Consider the following 20858-nt stretch of genomic DNA (forward strand, 5'->3'; position numbering starts at 1 on the left):
CTTATACAAAAATTAACTCAAGATGGATTAAAGACTTAAACGTAAGACCTAAAACCATAAAAACCCCAGAAGAAAACCTAGGCAATACTATTCAGGACATAGGCATAGGAAAAGACTGCATGACTAAACCACCAAAAGCAATGGCAACAAAAGTCAAAATTGACAAATGAGATCTAATTAAACTAAAGAACTTCTGCACAGCAAAAGAAACTATCGTCAGAGTGAACAGGCAACCTACAAAATGGGAGAAAATTTTTGCAATCTATCCATCTGACAAAGGGCTAATATCCATAATCTACAAGGAACTTAAACAAATTTGCAAGAAAAAAACAACCCCATCAACAAGTGGGTGAAGGATACGAACATACACTTCTCAAAAGAAGACATTTATGCAGCCAACAAACGTATGATAAAAGCTCATCATCACTGGTCATTAGAGAAATGCAAATCAAAACCACAGTGAGATACCATCTCATGCCAGTTAGAATGGCAATCATTAAAAAGTCAGGAAACAACAGATGTTGGAGAGGATGTGGAGAAATAGGAAGGCTTTTACACTGTTGGTGGGAGTGTAAATTAGTTCAACCACTGTGGAAGATAGTGTGGCGATTACTCAAAGATCTAGAACAAGAAATGCCATTTGACCCAGCAATCCCATTACTGGGTATATACCCAAAGGATGATAAATCATTCTACTGTAAAGACACATGCACACGTATATTTATTGGAGCACTGTTCACAATAGGAAAGACTTGGAACCAACCCAAATGCCCATCAATGATAGACTGGATAAAGAAAATATGGCACATATGTACCATAGAATACTATGCAGCCATAAAAAAGGATGCATTCCTGTCCTTTGAAGGGACATGGATGAAGCTGGAAAACATCATTCTCAGCAAACTAGCCCAGGAACAGAAAACCAAACACTGCATGTTCTCCCTCATAAGTGGGAGTTGAACAATGAGAACACACGGACACAGGGAGGGGAACATCACACACTGGGGCCTGCCGGGGGTTGGGGGGCTAGAGGAGAGATAGCATTAGGAGAAATACCTAATGTAGATGATGTGTTGAAGGGTGCAGCAAACCACCATGGCACGTGTATACCTATGTAACAAACCTACACATTCTGCACATGTATCACAGAACTTAAAGTATAATTTTTTAAAAGAAAATATTCATTCTCATATCAACAATTCTTGAATTCTTGTCGTGGAGAAAAGCAACAAAAATAAGGCAATAGAAAGATGTGCTTCACACTATAAACAGTCGTTTTGTAAGAATAGGAACTCTGGATCCCTGTACAACAAAAAATTAAGAAGCTAATGAGAATAATCCCTGTATTCACAATACACTCAATTGCATGTGAAAGACAATGCACCCATAATATAGCTCACTTAGTGTCCTTTGTTTATAATGCATAATTCCTTAATCATTCGTTTGTGAAATAAGAATGAACTTTAAGAAACATAAAATCTGAATAATATTTATTTTCACAATATCATTGCTAATCTCAAAATAGCAACTTCCTTGACTCAAAATGTTAAATGTTTCAAAAACAAAAGATATATATTTTTTACCTTCTGAATAGAGTCTGCAAAAAAAGGTGGATTATTTTACTAAACTTGCAAAGAGACTAGGTCTCAGCCTGTACTTAAGAAACATGAGCAACAAAGGTGGCAAACAAATGTCACTAGAAGTAATGCCCATACATGCCAAAATATCTAGTTCAACCATGTTATTTCCACTAACATAGCAAGCCTATTAAACAACCAGCACAAGGTAAGCTTATACTTTATGAGACAGAATTACTAAATTAACTACCCATCTATAAAAATTTCAAAATTCCTCATCTCAAAATAATTTTAGTGCACGTATTAAGTACTACAGACTATGTAGAAAGAGACATATATACATATATACATCCAGTCTTTGCAATTTAAATTTTTTATAATGTATAAACACTGTTCAGACATGAATTTTGAACTAACAGTGTTTTTTCCTAAATTTAATTTAGGTAATTAAGCCTTTCTTAAATGAAGACAGGTAATAGGTATATGATCTCTATAAACTTTTACAGTAGTTTATACTCCAAATAAAAATTTTCTTCCCATTATAATATGACAATATAACTGTTTTCTGAGTGAAGATATATGTAAGGCTTAAGGTTTAAACTCTTTGGGAGACAAACAGCATAGTGAAGAAATATCTGTTCATTTAAAAATATGTACCATCTCATAATAGGCCACTGACATTTCAAATTTACATGTAAGAATACATTTATACCTTAAATTTCTAGGAAAGGCACAGGATTCATGTTAAAAAAAAAGCAAAACTTTAAACTCATCAATTTATTGAAAAGCCATTACTCCTATTAGAAACAAATAATGCAAGATGTTGGCAACAAGACATAGCACAAAAATATATTTCATAAATGTATTTCTCCCTTTATATTCTGGCAGGAGATAGAATATCTCTTTGGCTAGGAGAAGCAGAAGTATTTGATGGACTGTGCAAACTGGTCTCTTTGTACAAAAACGAAGCATTTCCTCCCTAAAGCCAAAGATCACAGATCCATTTAGGGACCCCATGGTAGTCATAGAGCCAAATGAACATGTTACTCTTCGCTGATTGCAAGGCAGATGTTCCTGAACATTATTGTGACTGGTAGCTATTTCAGCATTTGTAAGAGCTTTAGCCTAGGTTGAAAGGCTCACTAACCTCAAAAAGTGGCAAAAAGAGCTGCAACAAAGTCAGTTATGGAAAGGTTTTTTTTTTTTTTCACTATGCCCATATGTGTTCATGTAACCAACATAAAGCAGAAGAGCAGAAATGCAATGCAAGAAGACAAAGACTACAAATATAAGACAGAATTGTGCAGAAGAAGAGCAACCTCCTATAAAGACATGACTTTTCCAATTTACATCACACACATTTACATCTGGAGGTGACTGAAATGATGCCTGATTCAACCTGAATGGATAACCAAAAAATAGCAGTAATTGTTTTAATGTCAGTAATTTTAGGAGAATAACTTATTCAAATATCAGTTTTGTCCTTAAAATCTCCACAAGTGGCAAAAGCACAGATGGAAATGATCTGTTGGAGAATATCGAAGTCAAGCAGCTCTTTGAGGGTTGAGGCTGATCTGGAAGGTGGGCATCCTCTGAGGGAAGGAAGGTGAGTAAGGATAGCCAGGGGGAGGGAAGGTCTGTAGGACAGACCCCTATTTTCCTCATTTTTAACCTAAATATACAAGCAACTTGCTCTCTCTCTAGGCTGCTTAACAATATGATAGGTGTGAAAACATCTTGAATTGTGCAAATAGAGTAGTAGGTGAGAAAACAGGTGCAAAGTAATTAAAAGATTTATCAAAGACCACTCAGCCAAGAAAAGATAGAGGTGTGTGCTTAGCACCCAATTTCCTGACTACTATTTTGGGAAGCAATTAGTTCCTTTTCAGTTACTATTGACCCTCTTTTGATTCTATCTGGATAACATGAATGAAATCTTTAAAAACAAATGGCTTCTAAAATTATTAAATAAAACGTTAGTGTTTTAGCCAGGAATCTCCAAGAGGAACAGAACAAATAGGACATGCATCTATATAGAAAGAGATTTATTTTAAGGAATTGGCTCACCTAATTAGGAGGCTTGGTGAGTCCAAAATCAGATGGGAGAGGTTGGTAGGCAGGAGTGTTAGGAAAGAGTTGCAATTCAAATCTAAAGGCAGTCATCTGTGGAGCCAGGAAAAGATGATGTTTTAAATGAAGTTCAAAGGTATCCTGCTGAAAGATTCCTCTGTCTTGTGGGATATCAACCTTTTGTTTGATTCAGGCCTTCAATTGTTTGGATCAGCCCTACCTATATTATGGAGGGCAGTTTGCTTTACTGAAAGCCCACCAATTTAAACGTAAATATCATCCAAAAACATCCTCACAGAAACATCCAGAGCAATGTTTGATCAAATATCTGAGCAACATCACCCAGCCAAGTTGACACACAAAATTAACCACCACAGTTAATATTGATTAATATATGTATATAATGTGGATTATAAAATCATGCCTAACTTAGTTTGGAATAAATATCGAAGGCATCATTTTAACCCCCATCCCCCAGGCCTTTTTTTTAACCCTGTAGGCCATTTTTTTAATCTAAAAAATTAAATATTTTGCATAGATGATTTGTAATATATCTTATAGACATTATATTCTACAATTCACCATAAAACTTGAATTGAAACTAATTAGAATTTAAAAGCGCTATAGCAAAGAAATATTTATACAATTCATTTATTCAATAAATATTCATTTAAAAAATTAGTTAATTTAGTGTTCCTTCTCTTAAGAGCCATTTCAAGCATCATTCCACATTATGAATTAAATTGAACACTTAAAATTTCAGTTTTTAAAAGTGAAAGTTGTAAAACTTGCGATTCCATGGCTGATCATTTCTAATTTTTGGCCATATATATTTTATTTCATTGATTTACCTAGATTATAAATGCATTCAATTTGTATTTTAATCAATTGATAAATTTACCAATAAACCAGCCAACCAATAAATGTCTATCATGTACAAGCTATTTGACCAAACACAATTTAAAATCTTGAAACCTGCCTCTGATATATGCCTCTATCTTGTGTAAAATAGACTTCATACCTCAAAGGGATACTTCTCATTACCTTAGATCAAACAATCTTACACTAAAAAGAAAGGCCAGAGAAGGCCATCTGCCTTAGGTAAATAACTCTAAGGAAGGTTTAAAAAATTTCCAAAAGAGCAAAGCTCTGAAGTGCTATGCATAATAAATGCTCATTTGTATGATGCAATATTAATAAAACACAAACATATTCATGATTAAAATCAGGCCAGATTCCAGAGCAGCTTTGAAGAGTGATAAATTAAGTATTTATTTTTCAATTAATCTAATTTTATTCAAAACTGTAATGTTATGAGCACAATGGTAGTGCATGGTAATAGAACAATAGTAAAGCTAAACAGTTTTTGTCCTGGTTCCTTCACTCACTAGCTACATGACTTTATATTTTTACTTTTTCTGGGCCTTAGAGCAAGTTTAACTTTCTGGCTATAGGTTAGGAATAAAGGTGAACACATTAATGGAAGCAAAATTGCAAAATATCTGTTAGACACACCAAAGATTCTATGCCAAACTCAAGGAACATGTTTTGCACTTATACATTAGGATGTATAAAATACATCATATTGTCTTATACATTATTATGATAGGCACTTATAGCAACATAGGGTTATGGTCAATTCTATTTTTTAGAAAATAAGAATTATAATAACAAGTTTGGGTTAAATGTAACCGTAGGGATCTGACTATATTTGAAATTCAATAGTCTTACAGCCATTAGATTGAAAATTTCACAAATACAAGTGAAAGAGTTACTAAGGAAACAAAATTTGATCTACATGATTTCAATGCTTTTGAATATCCTATTTTGTAAAGTCACAAAAGTACTCCCTAGCCACTTTGCTCCATGGCTGAAAACATGAAAAGAAAAGAAAGTTCTTATAGATAATTTATATGTTGCATGTATGACAATTTAAATGTATATTTTTTCTTTCATTTAAAGTATCTACAGTTTTTGTTTTAACCCCCAGCAATTCTATCATTTTTCTTCTAGCTGTATAAGCTCCTAAACGTAAGTTTTGTCATTAATACATTGATGAATTGGTTGTTTGATAGATTCAGTCATTTATTCACTCTTTTCTTAAATATCTGCCAAAGTCACTAAAGGGGTTATTATAAAAATTACTCAAGGCCGGGCGCGGTGGCTCACGCCTGTAATCCCAGCACTTTGGGAGGCCGAGGCGGGCGGATCACGAGGTCAGGAGATCGAGACCATCCCGGCTAAAACGGTGAAACCCCGTCTCTACTAAAAATACAAAAAATTAGCCGGGCGTAGTGGCGGGCGCCTGTAGTCCCAGCTACTTGGGAGGCTGATGCAGGAGAATGGCGTGAACCCGGGAAGCGGAGCTTGCAGTGAGCCGAGATCCCGCCACTGCACTCCAGCCTGGGCGACAGAGCGAGACTCCGTCTCAAAAAAAAAAAAAAAAAAAAAAAAAATTACTCAAGATTCTGGTTCTTGTCTCTCCTATCCAGCATTTATTTCCATCTCCCCGTTCATCATATAATTTCTTCCCTGTTGTTGGTCATTCTTTAAATTCAGCCTCCACATTACATCTTGATAATACAACTAAAGCACAGACCTGGCTTGGCATTCTTGGTCCTACTATTTGTTTCATCCTCTGCCTGACTTTTTGCTTCTCATAACACTGAACTAATACACACACACACACACACACACACACTCAAACAAAACTATTTTCATCCTCCTCACTCCTTGCCTTTGCCAATAGCCTTTGCTCTACTTGCAACATCTACTTGTAACACTTTCACTTTCCTAGACCACTTTAACCTACCCTACATGCCCCCAAGGAAATTCCTTTTCTTTTGGTTGCCCCAGATTTCTTTGTTCTTTTATTTACTGTAGTAGACTCAGAATATTGTTTTTATGTTTGTGTCTATCTTATCTCACTTTATCTTTTCTTCTTCTGCAATCTTATTCAATCCCTCAAAATGCAGCCTTAATTCAATAATTCTATTTCACAACCAGGGTTCATATTTGTCCTAGGAGCTCCAGGTCTCTGATCTTTCCCTTCACATATGCTCTTCCTTCACTGTCCCCCAACAGAGGAATGACAACATTCTTTTAATAACAGAAAAAATGTTTTAGTGATTACTACATGCAAGGCACTCTACTGGACTACAGTGATGAATGAGAAAGACATGGTCCCTATGTTTAGGTGAGTTTGCATTCCAGCAGACAGATGGGAAGATATTAAACAACTTATTAATACATCTAACAGACTTCTTTAATCACAATTATATATAGCACGTAGTCTTGACATTCTTTCTGTTGTGAGCAAACAGAAAGGTCAATTTATTCACACACACACATGCTCATGCATGCACACACACACACACACAGAGAGAGAGATAGAGAGAGAGACATACCCATAGCTAACTCCAATAGCTGGTATCCTCAAGGCTTTGCTGTTTGGTGCTGGTGGCATTGATGTCCTGGAGGTCAACTAGCTTTTTCAGTCCAATGAACAACAGTAGATGGCCCAACACCTCAGAGAAGCTTGGGATAAGGCTTACTCCTCTTATTCTGCCATGCTGAGTGGCCTGATGTGTACGTGGGGGGAGAGATGGTGCTGTGATAGGGGACAACTGGTGATTAAGGACATGGTTTAACTCTGTTTTTCTTAAGGAACGCAAAATCCCCTGCATCTCCAATTTTGGCTTAGGGGAATGGAGGAAAGTTTGAGGACAATGGCCGTCACTTTTTATGAGCCTGCTCATACTCCAGTTGGATAGAGACACATTTGCAAAACTCTCTCCAGAAACTCCAGCTGACAAACTGTGTAACTGTCTTCTATGCTACAGATGACTCCAAACTCTGGAATCATGTGAAGAAGAGTATGAGTAAGCAGCAAATGTGCTTTATTCTTTGACTCCCCAGATGCTCTCTCAAATCATTTTCTCATTCTGTCCCTGTCCATACCAAACTGCCTTCAGGTCTTGGAAGGCGTTATTTTCCCCTCTACCATGAAACTTGTGCAGGTGCTGCACCCTCAGGCTCAAATTTCTTTTTCACCCCTTCCCTTCTTAACTCCTTGCTTATTCTTCAGTTTATAATGTAAAAAATCCACTTCCTGGGGCAAGTTGTTCTCTCTTTCTTTTATAGTCTTATGGCAACTCAAATGCCATTCCTTGTAGCACTCATCTACATTACAATTATATTGTCTTTATTTGTGGGATTTACAAAAGTCTGTCTCCCACACTTACAGCTGACATTTGTAGTTGAGAGCCCCCAGCAATAGAAAGGACACCAGTAGCTAAAGCCAGTTATGTATACATGTGTGCTATATATATATATTCATAAGAATAAATTGAGATGCTCCCACTGGGCCTAAGCCATGCTAGCACCTTCCCAGGATACCCAGCATCTCCCCCAGGAGACTTTTGCAGTGGACAACCTCCTGCTCCATGGTAACCACATGATGAAAAATGCAAAATGTGGACACGTTAGAATAAATGCAACAGGACTCAGTGGAATGTGCTACTCAGGCACTGGAGACATATGTCATAGAAAAGGACATTGTGGCCCATATCCAGAAGAAATTTGACAGGAAGTACAATCCCATCCGGTATTGCATCATGTGGGGGAGCCTAGGCAATTCTGTCACACGTGAAGCCAAACACTTCATCTACTTCTACCTGGGCCAGCTGGCTATTTTTTTGTTCAAATCTGGTTAAAAGCATGGCCTGTGCCACACATCCGGTGATCTATCCAAAAACAAGGATTGCAGCCTAAATTCCAAATACCAGAGACTGGAATATCCAGCTGTGCTAAGGGAACACTTCTTTTTTGAAGCTTTATTGTGTTTTGTTTGGGGCATTATCTGTACTAGTTTGTTGTGGTTATAAAATAATTAACAAAACAGCTTACATATGTATTTATTTTCTATTCTAACCTTCTCTGCCCCACGTTTTTGGTCTCAAAATCCATTCCTTAAAAAAAATAAATCTGTTGCAGATATGAAAAAAAGAATAAATTAATCTTCCTGTTGGCTTGTAACTGAGTCAAGAATTTCAATAATAAATGCTACATATAATTTTCGGGCTAGAACATGTATATGCTAATCATTGAATATTAGTGCTTGATAAGGCATCTGGCATTTGGTAGCTAATAAATACATGGGGAATGAATAAATGAATAAATATTAGCCTTAATGAATTTTGATGTAAAAATTGGTATATGGAAGCTTTATTTTTACAAAACAAAAATTTATATGCCAAAGCACTGTAGATCAAGTGTGTCATAGCCACAGTGAGCTATTTGTTTTTCCTCAGGAGGAAATGTAACTGCAGTGAAATTCATCCTTGTAGTGCTGATGAATTATGGTTCAGTGATTAGAGAAGAAAAAAACAAGGTTCAAAGAACAGAATGAAAAATAGCAGTCAGACACTCCAGTATAAACCCTGCTATGTGTGTGTTTGTTGGTTTGTTTAAACATTAATTAAAAAGTGGCTTCAGTGATAGTTTCCATAATGCCTTTTATTTTCCCTTTATACAGCCCAGATGTTAGAAACAATGCCAGGTTTTAATAATGATGATGTCAGAAACCTCCAACATGGAGACCTTTGAGTAATGAAGCAGAGGCTTGAATCTGAGCTTCTTAGGAATTATTTCAAGGCTTTGTAAAAAGTGTATCTCTAAATGAACTATATATAACTATATATACTAAATAAAAAGAATACTTCAAAGTCTTATAATTACTAAATTCATGCATTCAGCTAAAACTTTTTATCTTATAACAAACACATCTGTCATCCTATTCTTACACCCACCGCAAACAGTGCCAATCTGAAATACCTATAAATCTGTTCATTCTGAACTCATTAAACTTGGGAACATTATCATTTCATCCTAAGCTTGTCCTGAATGCACAGAACTACAGTAAGATGTAAGGGACCTGGGCTGTAAGTTAAGAAAACTGTCACTGTGGTCCTGTCCTCTCTGTCAGCCTGACTTCAGATAGGACCAGACTTGAGCACCGCCAACACATGTTCTTTTAAAGATATTCACAAAAGGTGATTACACATTACTTTAAAAACATTTTTTAAATCAATATTTGTCTGAGACTGGATACACTGAAACTGGTTTGATCTTAGGTTATCAATCTCTGAGTAAGCATTAAGAATATACTAAAATCATATTAAATTACCCTTGGCTATGTCTTTTCTACCAGAATGAATCTAGTTCTTTTCCAGGTGATGATGATTAGGTGTAAAGCAACCTGCAGTTACTTGAGTGAACATTTTTTTCATTAAGAAACTGATATGGTTTAGATGTTCGTCCCCTCCAAATCTCATGTTGAAATGTGATCCCCAATGTTGGAAGTGGGGCCTGGTGGGAGATGATTGGATCATGGGAGTGGATCTCAAGAATGAGTTAGGACCATCCCCTTAGTGATAAGTGAGTTCTTGCTCAGTTCATGCAAGATCTGATTGTTTAATCCAAGGGATTTAATCCAAGACACCAAGGGACCTCCCTCCTTGGTGTCTTGCTCCCGCTCTCTCCACGTGATGCTCTCGCTCCTGCTTCAGCTTCTGCCATGACTGTAAACTTCCAGAGGCCCTTGCCAGAAGCCAAGCAGATGTTGGTGCCATGCTAGTAGAGCCTGCAGAGCCATGAGCCGATTAAGCCAATTAAACAATTTTTCTTTGTAAATCACTCAGTCTCAGGTATTTCTTTATAGTAACACAGAAACGGACTAACGCAGAAACAAATGCACTTTAATTGATAGTGTACACAGACATGAGGCAGCAGTGGTATGGCTGAGACCAGGCCCCATACTTGTCTTGGCCAAAGTAAGTGGTCTTCTTACAGGGTCTCAGGTGGTGGGGGTGGGAGGTGGGGTTGGGGAGAAGCAGAGTCAGAGCTTCTGCTTTGACTGGCAGGAGGCCTGTAGACAACAGATCCAGGCAGGGGCCAGGGCTGAGGTATAGGTATGCAGAGCTGTGGCTGGGACATGTGTATATCTGTGTGGACAGGTATTTTCAAAACACCTACAGCTACACAGGGTCAGTCTTTTTGGGGTAATATAGGTTAATTCTGGACATTGTATGGATGTGTTCAACTGATAGAAATCTTTGAAAACCAAGTAGCTAAATACATAAACAGAATCAGAGCTCACCCTAGTAGATACAAGTACAGTGGTTGCCTTTTCAGTTTCCTTTCCCCTCCATAGTTAAGTCTAATAAGATGGTGTCTAGCTGGGATATAGCCTTCACCCTCGAGAAGCCCAGCTCCTCTGCTATCTCTCTTCCTTGGCTCTCCTGTCAGTGTGTGCACATGCCCACAATCACACCCTCTACACCCCCCATCCCCAAACACACATGCAGACATAGATAACTTAGTAGACCTCAAGAAATCAAAAGAAATAGAAACAGTTATTGCCCACCAAAATCGGGGGCCAGTAGGATCCATTGTAATTTCTTGACATGGGAGTAATATTTTTAAAAGGTGCTTTTAGCAAATCCATGTGTCAGTGAAAGCTGCATTATACTTGCCAGATTAATTTATCAACTTTAGACAGAATTTATTGATCTTCTGCTATCTAGTGGGGAGAAAATGGAAATAGAGAGATTTACTAGGAATCTGCTGCAGTGAACCTGTCATGACTGAATAAGGGTCTTATCTAGTTGATGGGATGTAGAGATTGATAGGAGTCAAGGGACAGGAAGAGGCAGAGATACTTTTAAGTTTGCAGGGTAAAAAGAAAAGGCAGTAACTTGGGAGTAGAGGATAAAAGGAGCAATAAGTTTGTCTCTGGGCATTTTGGTTTATGATAATACTGGTCTTTCCAAGTGAGGATGTTCTGTGGGTAGCTGGAAATGGATGACTAAAACTCGGGAGGGGGAAGGCAGAAAAAATGATTTGAAATACAGAGCTGTGGAATATTGTGTATCAATTTCAGCATCTTATTCATCTCAGGGTCTCAATGCCTTTTTTGAGTCTTACTTTTCCTTCCACTGGCAATTAGAAAGTATTTGAAATTTTCTTCATGCTGGTGCTAATTATCCTTTGATTGGACTATTGCAATACCTTGGAATTTGTCTCTTCAGTTTCATCTTTTCCTTGCTCCAGTACATCATATATGACTTTGTTCCAAGCGCAATTCTGCATAAATAATGTTTTTGGCTCCCTGTTGCCTACAAAATCTAAACCAGATTTTTCTTAGCTTGACTTTTCAGCTTCAATCTACTATTTGCAAACTAATTGCTCGTTATTTTCCTTCATACATTTAGCAAACTGATCTACTTGCTGATCATCACTCATGCTTGATGCTTTCCCATCTTTGTGTGCTGCTTCTGCTGATCCTAGATGCCTTTCCTTAGTCAGAATGCCCTAACCCTAAAAGCTCAGGTGAAGTGTTGGCTCTACTATAATTGCCCCAGCTGAGCAAATCCCTTTCCTCAATTCCCTTTTCACTTCATCTGTGTGTTGTATACCACTAAATCCATTTTATCTTATAGTTATTTGATCATACTCCTTATGTCCCTAAAAAAGACCTTTAAGTTTTTTGAAGATAAGAACTCTTTCCGATAAAACTTCGAAGGTTTTTGGTACTCATTATTATGTTTGGCACATAGCAGCACTCAATATTTATTAAAATAAATATGCTTTCCCCTAATCATGTTAAATTTGAAATTTTAAGTTAAGGTTTTTTGCTTACAAGCAAGAGAAAATAACTCTGTTTAACTTAAGTCAAAAAGAAAGCATTTATTAGAATACCATGATGCAACTCACAATAGTGATGGAAAAGTTGAGGAACTACCTCTCAAAAAGCAGAGAAATCAGGATGTCCCAGGGACTTGGGGAGCAGGATCTAAGGAAAATCTCAGGGTATTACCATTTGCATTAACGAGCTCCAACAGTTTTCCCATCTCAACCTCATTTTGGTCAAGATTCAAATTCTCCAAATAACTCTGATTGGCTTTGACTGGGCCACCTGCAGGGAGTGAGTAGATCTCCTTGGCTAACAGTCCCAGTGAAACTACACATAGTGAAGACTGGGTTATTTCTCAAAGCAAAGTTGGAGAAGAGAGATGCCTGGCAGGTAAGAAGAATGGATTCTAACACACCCATCTGTGAAACCTCTATGTGTATTTATTTATGCATTGATTTATTTAACCAATCAAAACTTATTGGGTGCCTGTCCTACCAAACAATATGCTAATTGCTGGGGATATAAATATGAGTAAGTTGTAGATCATATCTTTAAAAAGGTTTGCAGTATAGTATGTTTATATTGCTTCCCCTGATTCATTTTATAATTTTATTAAAATGAATGGTTAAACAAAAAGTGAAATCTCTGGGGAACTTTTCACTGCATCATACTTCCCTCGTGTTCTGTGACTTCAATGCTATATGGACCATCCATCCAGCATTCTAGCCTCTGAGTTCCATGCCTTCCTCATCGGTCATAAGTGTGTTAAGAGACAAAAATCAGAGAGGTCTACAAGGCAGGTTGTCTAGAGCCTTGGAGGCCTTGGTAAGGAATTTAGATTTCATTGAAAGTGTGATTGGGAGCAATTGAGGGCATAGTCAATTCAGAGAAGATCACTCTGGCTACTATCTGGAGAAGAAGTTACGAGAAGACCAGAGACAAGAGTGGGAGCAGGACTCTGTAAGCAGGATGTCACAGTGGTCTAATGGTACTTTAGACAAGGGTGTTAGCAGAGGATAGGTGAAAAGTAAACAGGTTTGGGAAAATACTTTTGTTGTGAAACTAATGAGACTCACTCATGGAGTGGATTCAGCGATAAAGGAGGAATTGAGGACAATATCTAGGTGTATGCAGGTGCCATTTTCTGAGATCCTTATTTTCTGTTCAATTTACTTCCATTATGTCGATTTTTCTATCTCATTTTGATCACTAATCCATGAACCCTTTTACTATTTTCCTAATCAGTTCTATCCTGCATTCTCTTTCTTCCCTAAAAAACTTGGATCAATGATGCATTATTTCTACTGTTCTTATTAACATCTTAAACTCTTCCTCCTCAATGCCCTCCCATTGTATCTGTCTGGTAACACATTCACCAAACCGCTTACCTTTTATGACCCTTTGGACTATTGAAACGTTACACAGAAATGCTTATTCAGAACACAATACACTCAGCTACTATTCTCAACTGCTAACACTGGCAATTTTGTCAGTTCCCTATCAACCCTTGCTTCTCTTCTCTATCGTGACTACTCTGAAACCTCTGACTCCTCTTTCTTACTGTTTCTCCTTCTTAACATGTGAACTCACCATGTACTTCACAGAGAAAACAGAAATTTGAAAAAGGATTTCTTTTTCTTCCTGCTACCAAGTCTGCAAACCTTTCCTCCTTTTTAGTGAAAAGAGGTGAACCCTCTCTTGCATGGACTCTTCTTGCCACCTGGGCTCTGGATCCACCTGTACCATGACCTCACTTCATTGATGACTCAACTTACTTTCCTTTGGTCAGCTTGCTTCTTTCTCCTTGCTTCTTTTAGTAAGGACTCAGATCTCCACAAACCTCTTTCTTAAAAGCAATATTGGGAAAACAAACAAACAACTAAACCTTACTCATTCCAACTCTCCACTCTTTCCAGGCCCTTTGCTAAATCTCTCAACTGCTTTATAACTATACATATTGAAAGAATGGTCTACATTACCTCCCTCAATATTCTAATTTGCCACTTATTCCTCAACCAACACTCTGGCTTCCCTACACACTACTCTAAAGAAAATGCTGTTGTAAAGGCTACAAAACAAAATACACACGGGTGGTGATGGTGACATTTAGTGGGCATGCTTCCATTTTCATTTGGCTTATCCTGTCCTCAGCATTGGACACTGGGCAGTGTCGTTTTTTTCTTGGCTTAGGTACCATCATAGTTTATTTTCCTGGTGCTTCTCTTACCTCTCTGGCTTGGTTTTCCTCCCTCCCTCCCTCCCTTTCTTCCTTCCTTCTTTCGTTCCTTCCTCTTTTCTTTATTCCTTCCTTTCTTTTTTTCTCTCTTTCTCTTTCTTTCTTTTTTGAATTTATTTATTTTTTTTCAGTTAGTTTCCTAAGTGTTACTCTCCTCTTGAGTTTATTTTCTAGGCTTTTTTTTCACCTTTGGGTAATATATTAATTTGGTCTCTCATTTGGACCCTTGAAGTTTCTCTAGAAATGAATCTTCTGATGATATGCTGCTGCTGCTACTGTTGCTGTGTGTGTGTGTGTGTGTGTGTGTGTGTGTGTGTGTGTGTGTTGATGATGATAAGCTTAGCTTCCTATCTTCTTTGAACCAGTAATAAAGGAGGTTGCGGGTGGGGCACTTATGGTTCTACCTGCAGCTATTCATTCAACTTATCTCCTTGTTTTCAGTCTGGTTCCTTACCCTTGCCCTCTGACAGGCATGGTGTGCCCTAATCTACATCCTCTCTGGTTCAATTTGTCTTGAGAATAAATCTCCTGCTTCCTTCAGGGGTAGGGAAAGGGAACTTACTTGACTGCTTCAGTTAAAGTGAGGTTTCTAATAACCTTTAAAAAGAAAGTGTCTGAGCAATATTTTAAACATGACATCAGCTGTATACTTGAAGTCTTTCATTAGGATGAGAAATTAAATTTTAAAAACTTAGAAAAACAAAAAATTATCTCATGAACTAATTAGTGACTATGTAAAAGAGAAGCTTTGGAGTCTTTAATTGTTTTTGTCTGGGAATAGTTACCAAAGATGTTGCCACAGTATTATCGAGCTATTTTAGCTTCATAGTATACAAAGTTCACTGGCTATATTAGCTATTAAATTATTTGGCTTACCTACTAGCCTTTGCAAAATTTCCCCTACAAATAGCCATGAATTCAAACTATGGCTCCAAAGACTGTATTTTTGCTGCATTTGTGTGTGTTAAGTGAAGAATTTTTTCAAGGTTTTATTTCTCATTTCTTATACTTTACCTAACAGCTGCTCTCTCCATCACTCTCCCCCTACATTTCCTTTTCTGCATTCTTTGATGAGTTGACCCTGTCTCCATTACCTACAGAAAAGTAAATTATAGTCCAATCAAAATTGTACTTTTCAGAAGATTGCTCAGCTGAGGACCATTAATAACACCACACTGTGAGACTTTAAATAGTTCTCTTTTCATATGGGCAGGCATATGTGCTTTGGAATAGTGGTGTCCTTGTAAATGTCACCTATTTGTTTCTCATCTTTAATTAATGGGATTTTCCCAAAGGCCACTAATGAAAGATATTACCCTTAATTAAAACACAACTGTACATTTAGAAATGGAAAAAAAAGTAGAGCTTATGCTCAATGAATATGCAGCTACAGTGAAGCATTCTCATTTTGAAACATAATGCTGGATGTTATACATAAGAGGATAGATTTTTAAATTAAGTGTGGATTTTGTTTTCTTCTAAAAATGAGGTCTCAGTAAAGGTGAAATGCCTGTGCTATCATTTCTCCTGAATTTGCTTTTCTCCTGATCTATTAATATTTAAATTTGTGTGAGAGCTGGTCATTATGTTTCAATGTTAGATGGAAACACTAGTCATTTGGGCAGTGGTGCTTGTATCATTTCAATTTCTTCACTGCCTGCTCTGCTCCAGGCATAGTGCTAAGTGCTAGGGAATAGTGAATGGTGATCAACTAAACTAAAATGAGCATGCTCATCAAAGATTGCATTCTGGTAAGTACCATTAACAAACAGTGTGTCAAGATGGGGGCCACTTTGAATTGGAAGGCTAGGGTGATCTTTTCTGAGAAGCTGATACTTGAGCAGAAACTTGAAGGATGATGATACGGTTTGACTGTGTCCCCACCCAAATCTCACCTTGAATTGTGATAATTCCCAATGTCAAGGACTGGGTCAGGTGGAGATAGCTGAATCATGGGGGCAGTTTCCCCCATAATGTTCTTGTGGTAGTAAATAAGTTTCATGGGAGCTGATAGTTTTATAAATGGGAGTTCTGCAGAAGCTCTCTTGCCTGCCACCATGGAAGACATGCCTTTGCTTCTCCTTTGCCTTCTGCCAAGATTGTGAGGCCTCCCACACCATGTGGAACTGTGAGTCCATTAAACCTCTTTCCTTTGTAAATTACCCAGTCTCAGGTATGTCTTTATTAGCTGCATGAGAACAGACTAATACAAATTATAAAAACCTAGGCAAGCAAAGAACTGAGGAAAGAGGATTCCAGGCAAAGAAAACAACAAAGTCACCCTCCATGAAGAGGGAAGGAGCTTAGAAGAGTTAATATGAAAAATGAAGGCCAGTAGGGAAGAAGCATCACAATCCAGGGAAAAAAAGAGATAACGTTGGAGGGAAATAGGAGCCAGCCCTGCGGAACTCACAGGCCTTGGTAAGGGTTTTCATAATTTATTTTAGGAGCAAAAAGACATTGGTGTATTTGTAAAATGCATTCAACCTAGTTAAAAGATTACAGAAAAGCTATTATAAACAAATAAAGTTGTAGTCTTGGAGAAAAAGAGGTTTAAAATGAAGTACCCATACAAAATGGAATATTACTTGACCAATACAAGGAACAATGTGACAATGTAAAGGAAATCCAAAAGCATTATATTGAACAAAGGAAATCATACACAAAATGTATATAAAACTTAAGGAAAAGCAAAACTAATTTATAATGTTTGAAATTAGAGTTGTAGTTACCTTGGTGTGGGGGGAAGTGGCTGTTAGAATTGGCTGGAAAGGGGCCTTGGGTAATAGATAGAACTTATATCTTCACTGGGGTGATGATTACTCAGGTGTATATGAAGCAGGAGCATTCCCTGATCCCCCTTGCAGGAGATGTGACAGGGCTGTGGCCAGGCTGTGCACTCAAAGCTCTTACAGGAGGGAGAGTACATAGACAGGCAGGTGCAGGAGCCAAGGTGAGTGCCCCTGGGCTTCGGCCCCATGGCGGCATCCAGGGGTGGGTGTTTGTGACTCCTGAAGCCCAAGTGGGTGCGTGTAACAGTGCATTCTTTTAGCTTTGCCATCCACAGACAGCTTAAGTGTTAAACAGCTCAGTAGACCCTCTGCCCTTTTGCAAGGGCACAGGGCTAGTGTGACAGCTTTCTGTATCTTGAGCTCTTGTCCAGTGTCCAGGAAAAATCAGGCCACACACAGACTTGAAGGATGAATCTGGGGGTTTTATTGAGTGGTGGAGGCGGCTCTCAGCAGGATGGTTGGGAGCTGGAGAAGGAATGGAGTGGGAAGATGATCTGTCCCTGGAGTTTGGCCATCCAGCCGCCAATCTCCTCTCCGACTGCCCCCAGCTGAACTCCTCTTGGTGTTCAGACACTCCTTCTCTTCTCTCTGCCATGCCGTTCTGCTCTTCTTCTGCTCTTCTGTTCATCTCCTTATGGAGCTGGGGTTTTGGGGTTTATATGGGTACAGGATAGGTGGGTGTGGCAGGTCAAAAGGCAACTTTTCAGCACAAAAACAGAACTGCCTGTTCTCATTTAGGGTGAGGCCTTTGCCAGGGAACTGCCTTCTTCTATCCAGTATTTCCCTGTCTCCTATTTGTATCATATACATTTGTCAAAGCTCATTACATTGTACACTTAAAATGTGTATATTTGATTGTATGTAAATTACACCTCAATTTTTTAGTGCATAGATGTACATATATATGCTACACACATATATATATATATATATATATATATATATGCAGTTATCTATGGAAACAGACTTCATATCAAATTCTTTAGATTGGAGGAGAAGGCAGGGAGGGATTACTAATTCTTTCTAGATTTGTTTTATAGATTTGATTTGACAAATTATATTTGTTTTTGGTCTTTCTTTTTTTTTTTTTTTGAGGCTGTCTCGCTCTGTTGCCCAGGCTGGAGTGTAGTGACACCATCTTAGCTCACTGCAACCTCTGTCTCCTGGGTGCAAGCAATTCTTGCCTCCCGAGTAGCTGGTACTGCAGGCACATATCACCACACCCAGCTAATTTTTATATTTTTAGTAGACATGGGGTCTCACTATGTTGCCCAGGCTGGTCTCAAACTCCTGAGCTCAAGTGATCCACCTGCTTCAGCCTCTCAAAGTGCTGGGATCACAGGCGTGAGCCACTAAGCCCAACTTTTGTTTTAATTTTTATGAGCATATTACTCTTACAATAATAAATTTAAAATACAATTTGAATTTTAAAAGGCACTGATTGTAAATACTTTAAAACAGAGGTGCTCTGCACTAACATTGCCCTCCTAACTCTAAAGATGTTGTCTTCCAGGGGCCTGTAACTTAGCTCTATTTCCTCTGGGACTAGGAAGTTGTGAAGGACAGAGCAGCTACTGGACTTGCTCCACATTGTTTGTTTCAAAATAAAGCATACTGGAGAGAAGGAAAGCAACACAGGAGGGGGGGCGTGTAAGAAAACCAGTTCTGAGTTTCAGCAGAAATTTATTAAGGGTCGAGAACAGAAAGGAAAACATTCTGCAAGATCTCTGTTTACAGTCTTCTCCCTTTGTCTCCAAAAACCTTCCCTGTATGCATTTGGAAAATTTCATATGGAATATATATATGCAAAGTCAGCAGTAAACTACTGTCTCTGAAGGAGAACCCAAACCAAAAAAAATTGTATGCAACTTTGAGGCTTGTTGTAAGAGAGCATTATTAACTGTTTTAATGAAGTTAATTCCAAAGGACTTTTAATGATTGCCTTGTTCTAAGCCTTCCCCTTGCCACCAGCTTTTAACTCACCATTCCCTTGGGTTATTTTCCCTGTAAATCCTTTCATTTAATACAAAATATCTGCAGCACCACAACCCAATTGCTAGTTCATGCTAAGGAGCCTTCATTTACCTATACTGGTATTTTGACCTTCTGACATATAAATCCCAGGAGTTTCTAAACTCAGGCAATTAGCGCTTTGAGTTTCTGACTCAGACATCCCTTGCTGCAGGCAGAGAGAAAGTAGCTTTTCATAAGATAATTAACTTTTTGCATGCTAACTTCCTGCTATTAAGTTATTGTTTTGACAGGCATTAGCTCTAGTTTTATTGTTTGGTTGCTGTTGTTTTTGTTTGTTTGTTTTATCCATAGTGATTACAGCTTTTTATCTTCTAGCTCTATAGCAGATTAAAGTTTTATTTAATTCCCTGAAATATATACATGTTTAAATCTATATAATATATAATTAATTTAATTTATATAATAGATATTTATATTATATATCAATTATATCTATAATTTATATATAATAGGTATTTAAATTATATATAATGGATATTTAATTATTATGATCTTTCTCATTCTCGTTTGTCCACATGGTCAGGAGCAAAGACTCCAAGACAGTAGATACAGATAGAAGAAGCCTAATTCTTTAGGTCATCTCAGAGAGATTACCTAGAAGTGATCCTGGGAGTCACCTAGAAGATCCTCTTGACCTGCACCATATATTGTGAAGGCAGGAGGTAAACTCTTAATTTTTAATATCTATTATATATTTTATATATATTTAACATATTATATAGTTACTTAAAATGTAGCTGGAAGAAATGGTTATTTTGAAGTATAGGCCTCTGTAACTTGCTACTAAATAAAATCATTGTGGGCATTGTTTCTGAAAAAGACAGTGGATCTTTGTATATTTATTCAAGGTTTCTCTTATTTTCCAAATCAGCTTGAGATACTCCCAGAGATGAAAAAGGCCTTTAAGAGTTGGAGTTTTGATGTATGTTTAAGCTAGAGGCAAAATAAATCATGCATTATTGTTTACTTCACTTTACCTGTGGTTATAAGTGGCCAACAATTTGTCAATGATAATAAGGAATAGTTTTCTCATTGTAACTTCCTTTACTCTATCTCCTACTGGTATGGACAAGCGGCAGGGAAATACTGGGTAGAAGAGGGCACTTCCCTGGCAAAAGCCCCACCCACGGCCCTAAATGAAAACTTTACATTCTTGTTTTCCCACCCGAATGTGGCTTTTCCCAAAACCATCCTGGCCTGCCACGTCCCCCATCCTGTACCCATAAAAACCCCAAACTCCACTGGCAGAGGAGCAGAGTGGTACAGCAGAGAAAGGGAGAAGAGAAGAAGTGTCTGAATGTTGAAGAGGCAGCAGGATGGTCAGAAGGCCAAACTCTCCAAACTCTAGGGTAAGATTATCTGCCCACTCCATGCCCTTTCCAGCTCCCCATCCTGCTGAGAGCCACCTCCATTGCTCAATAAAACCTCCTCATTCACCATCCTTCAAGTCAGTG

General features: G+C 37.9%; 2 pseudogenes; one reads left to right on the top strand and one right to left on the bottom strand.

Annotated features, from left to right (window-relative positions):
• On the bottom strand, window positions 2470-3172 carry SYPL1P1 (synaptophysin like 1 pseudogene 1; annotated as a pseudogene).
• On the top strand, window positions 8053-8560 carry DYNLL1P5 (dynein light chain LC8-type 1 pseudogene 5; annotated as a pseudogene).
• The last annotated feature ends 12298 nt before the right edge of the window (window positions 8561-20858 follow it).

The sequence above is a fragment of the Homo sapiens genome, chromosome 3 (genome assembly GCF_000001405.40).
Source record: "Homo sapiens chromosome 3, GRCh38.p14 Primary Assembly".
NCBI lineage: Eukaryota > Metazoa > Chordata > Mammalia > Primates > Hominidae > Homo > Homo sapiens.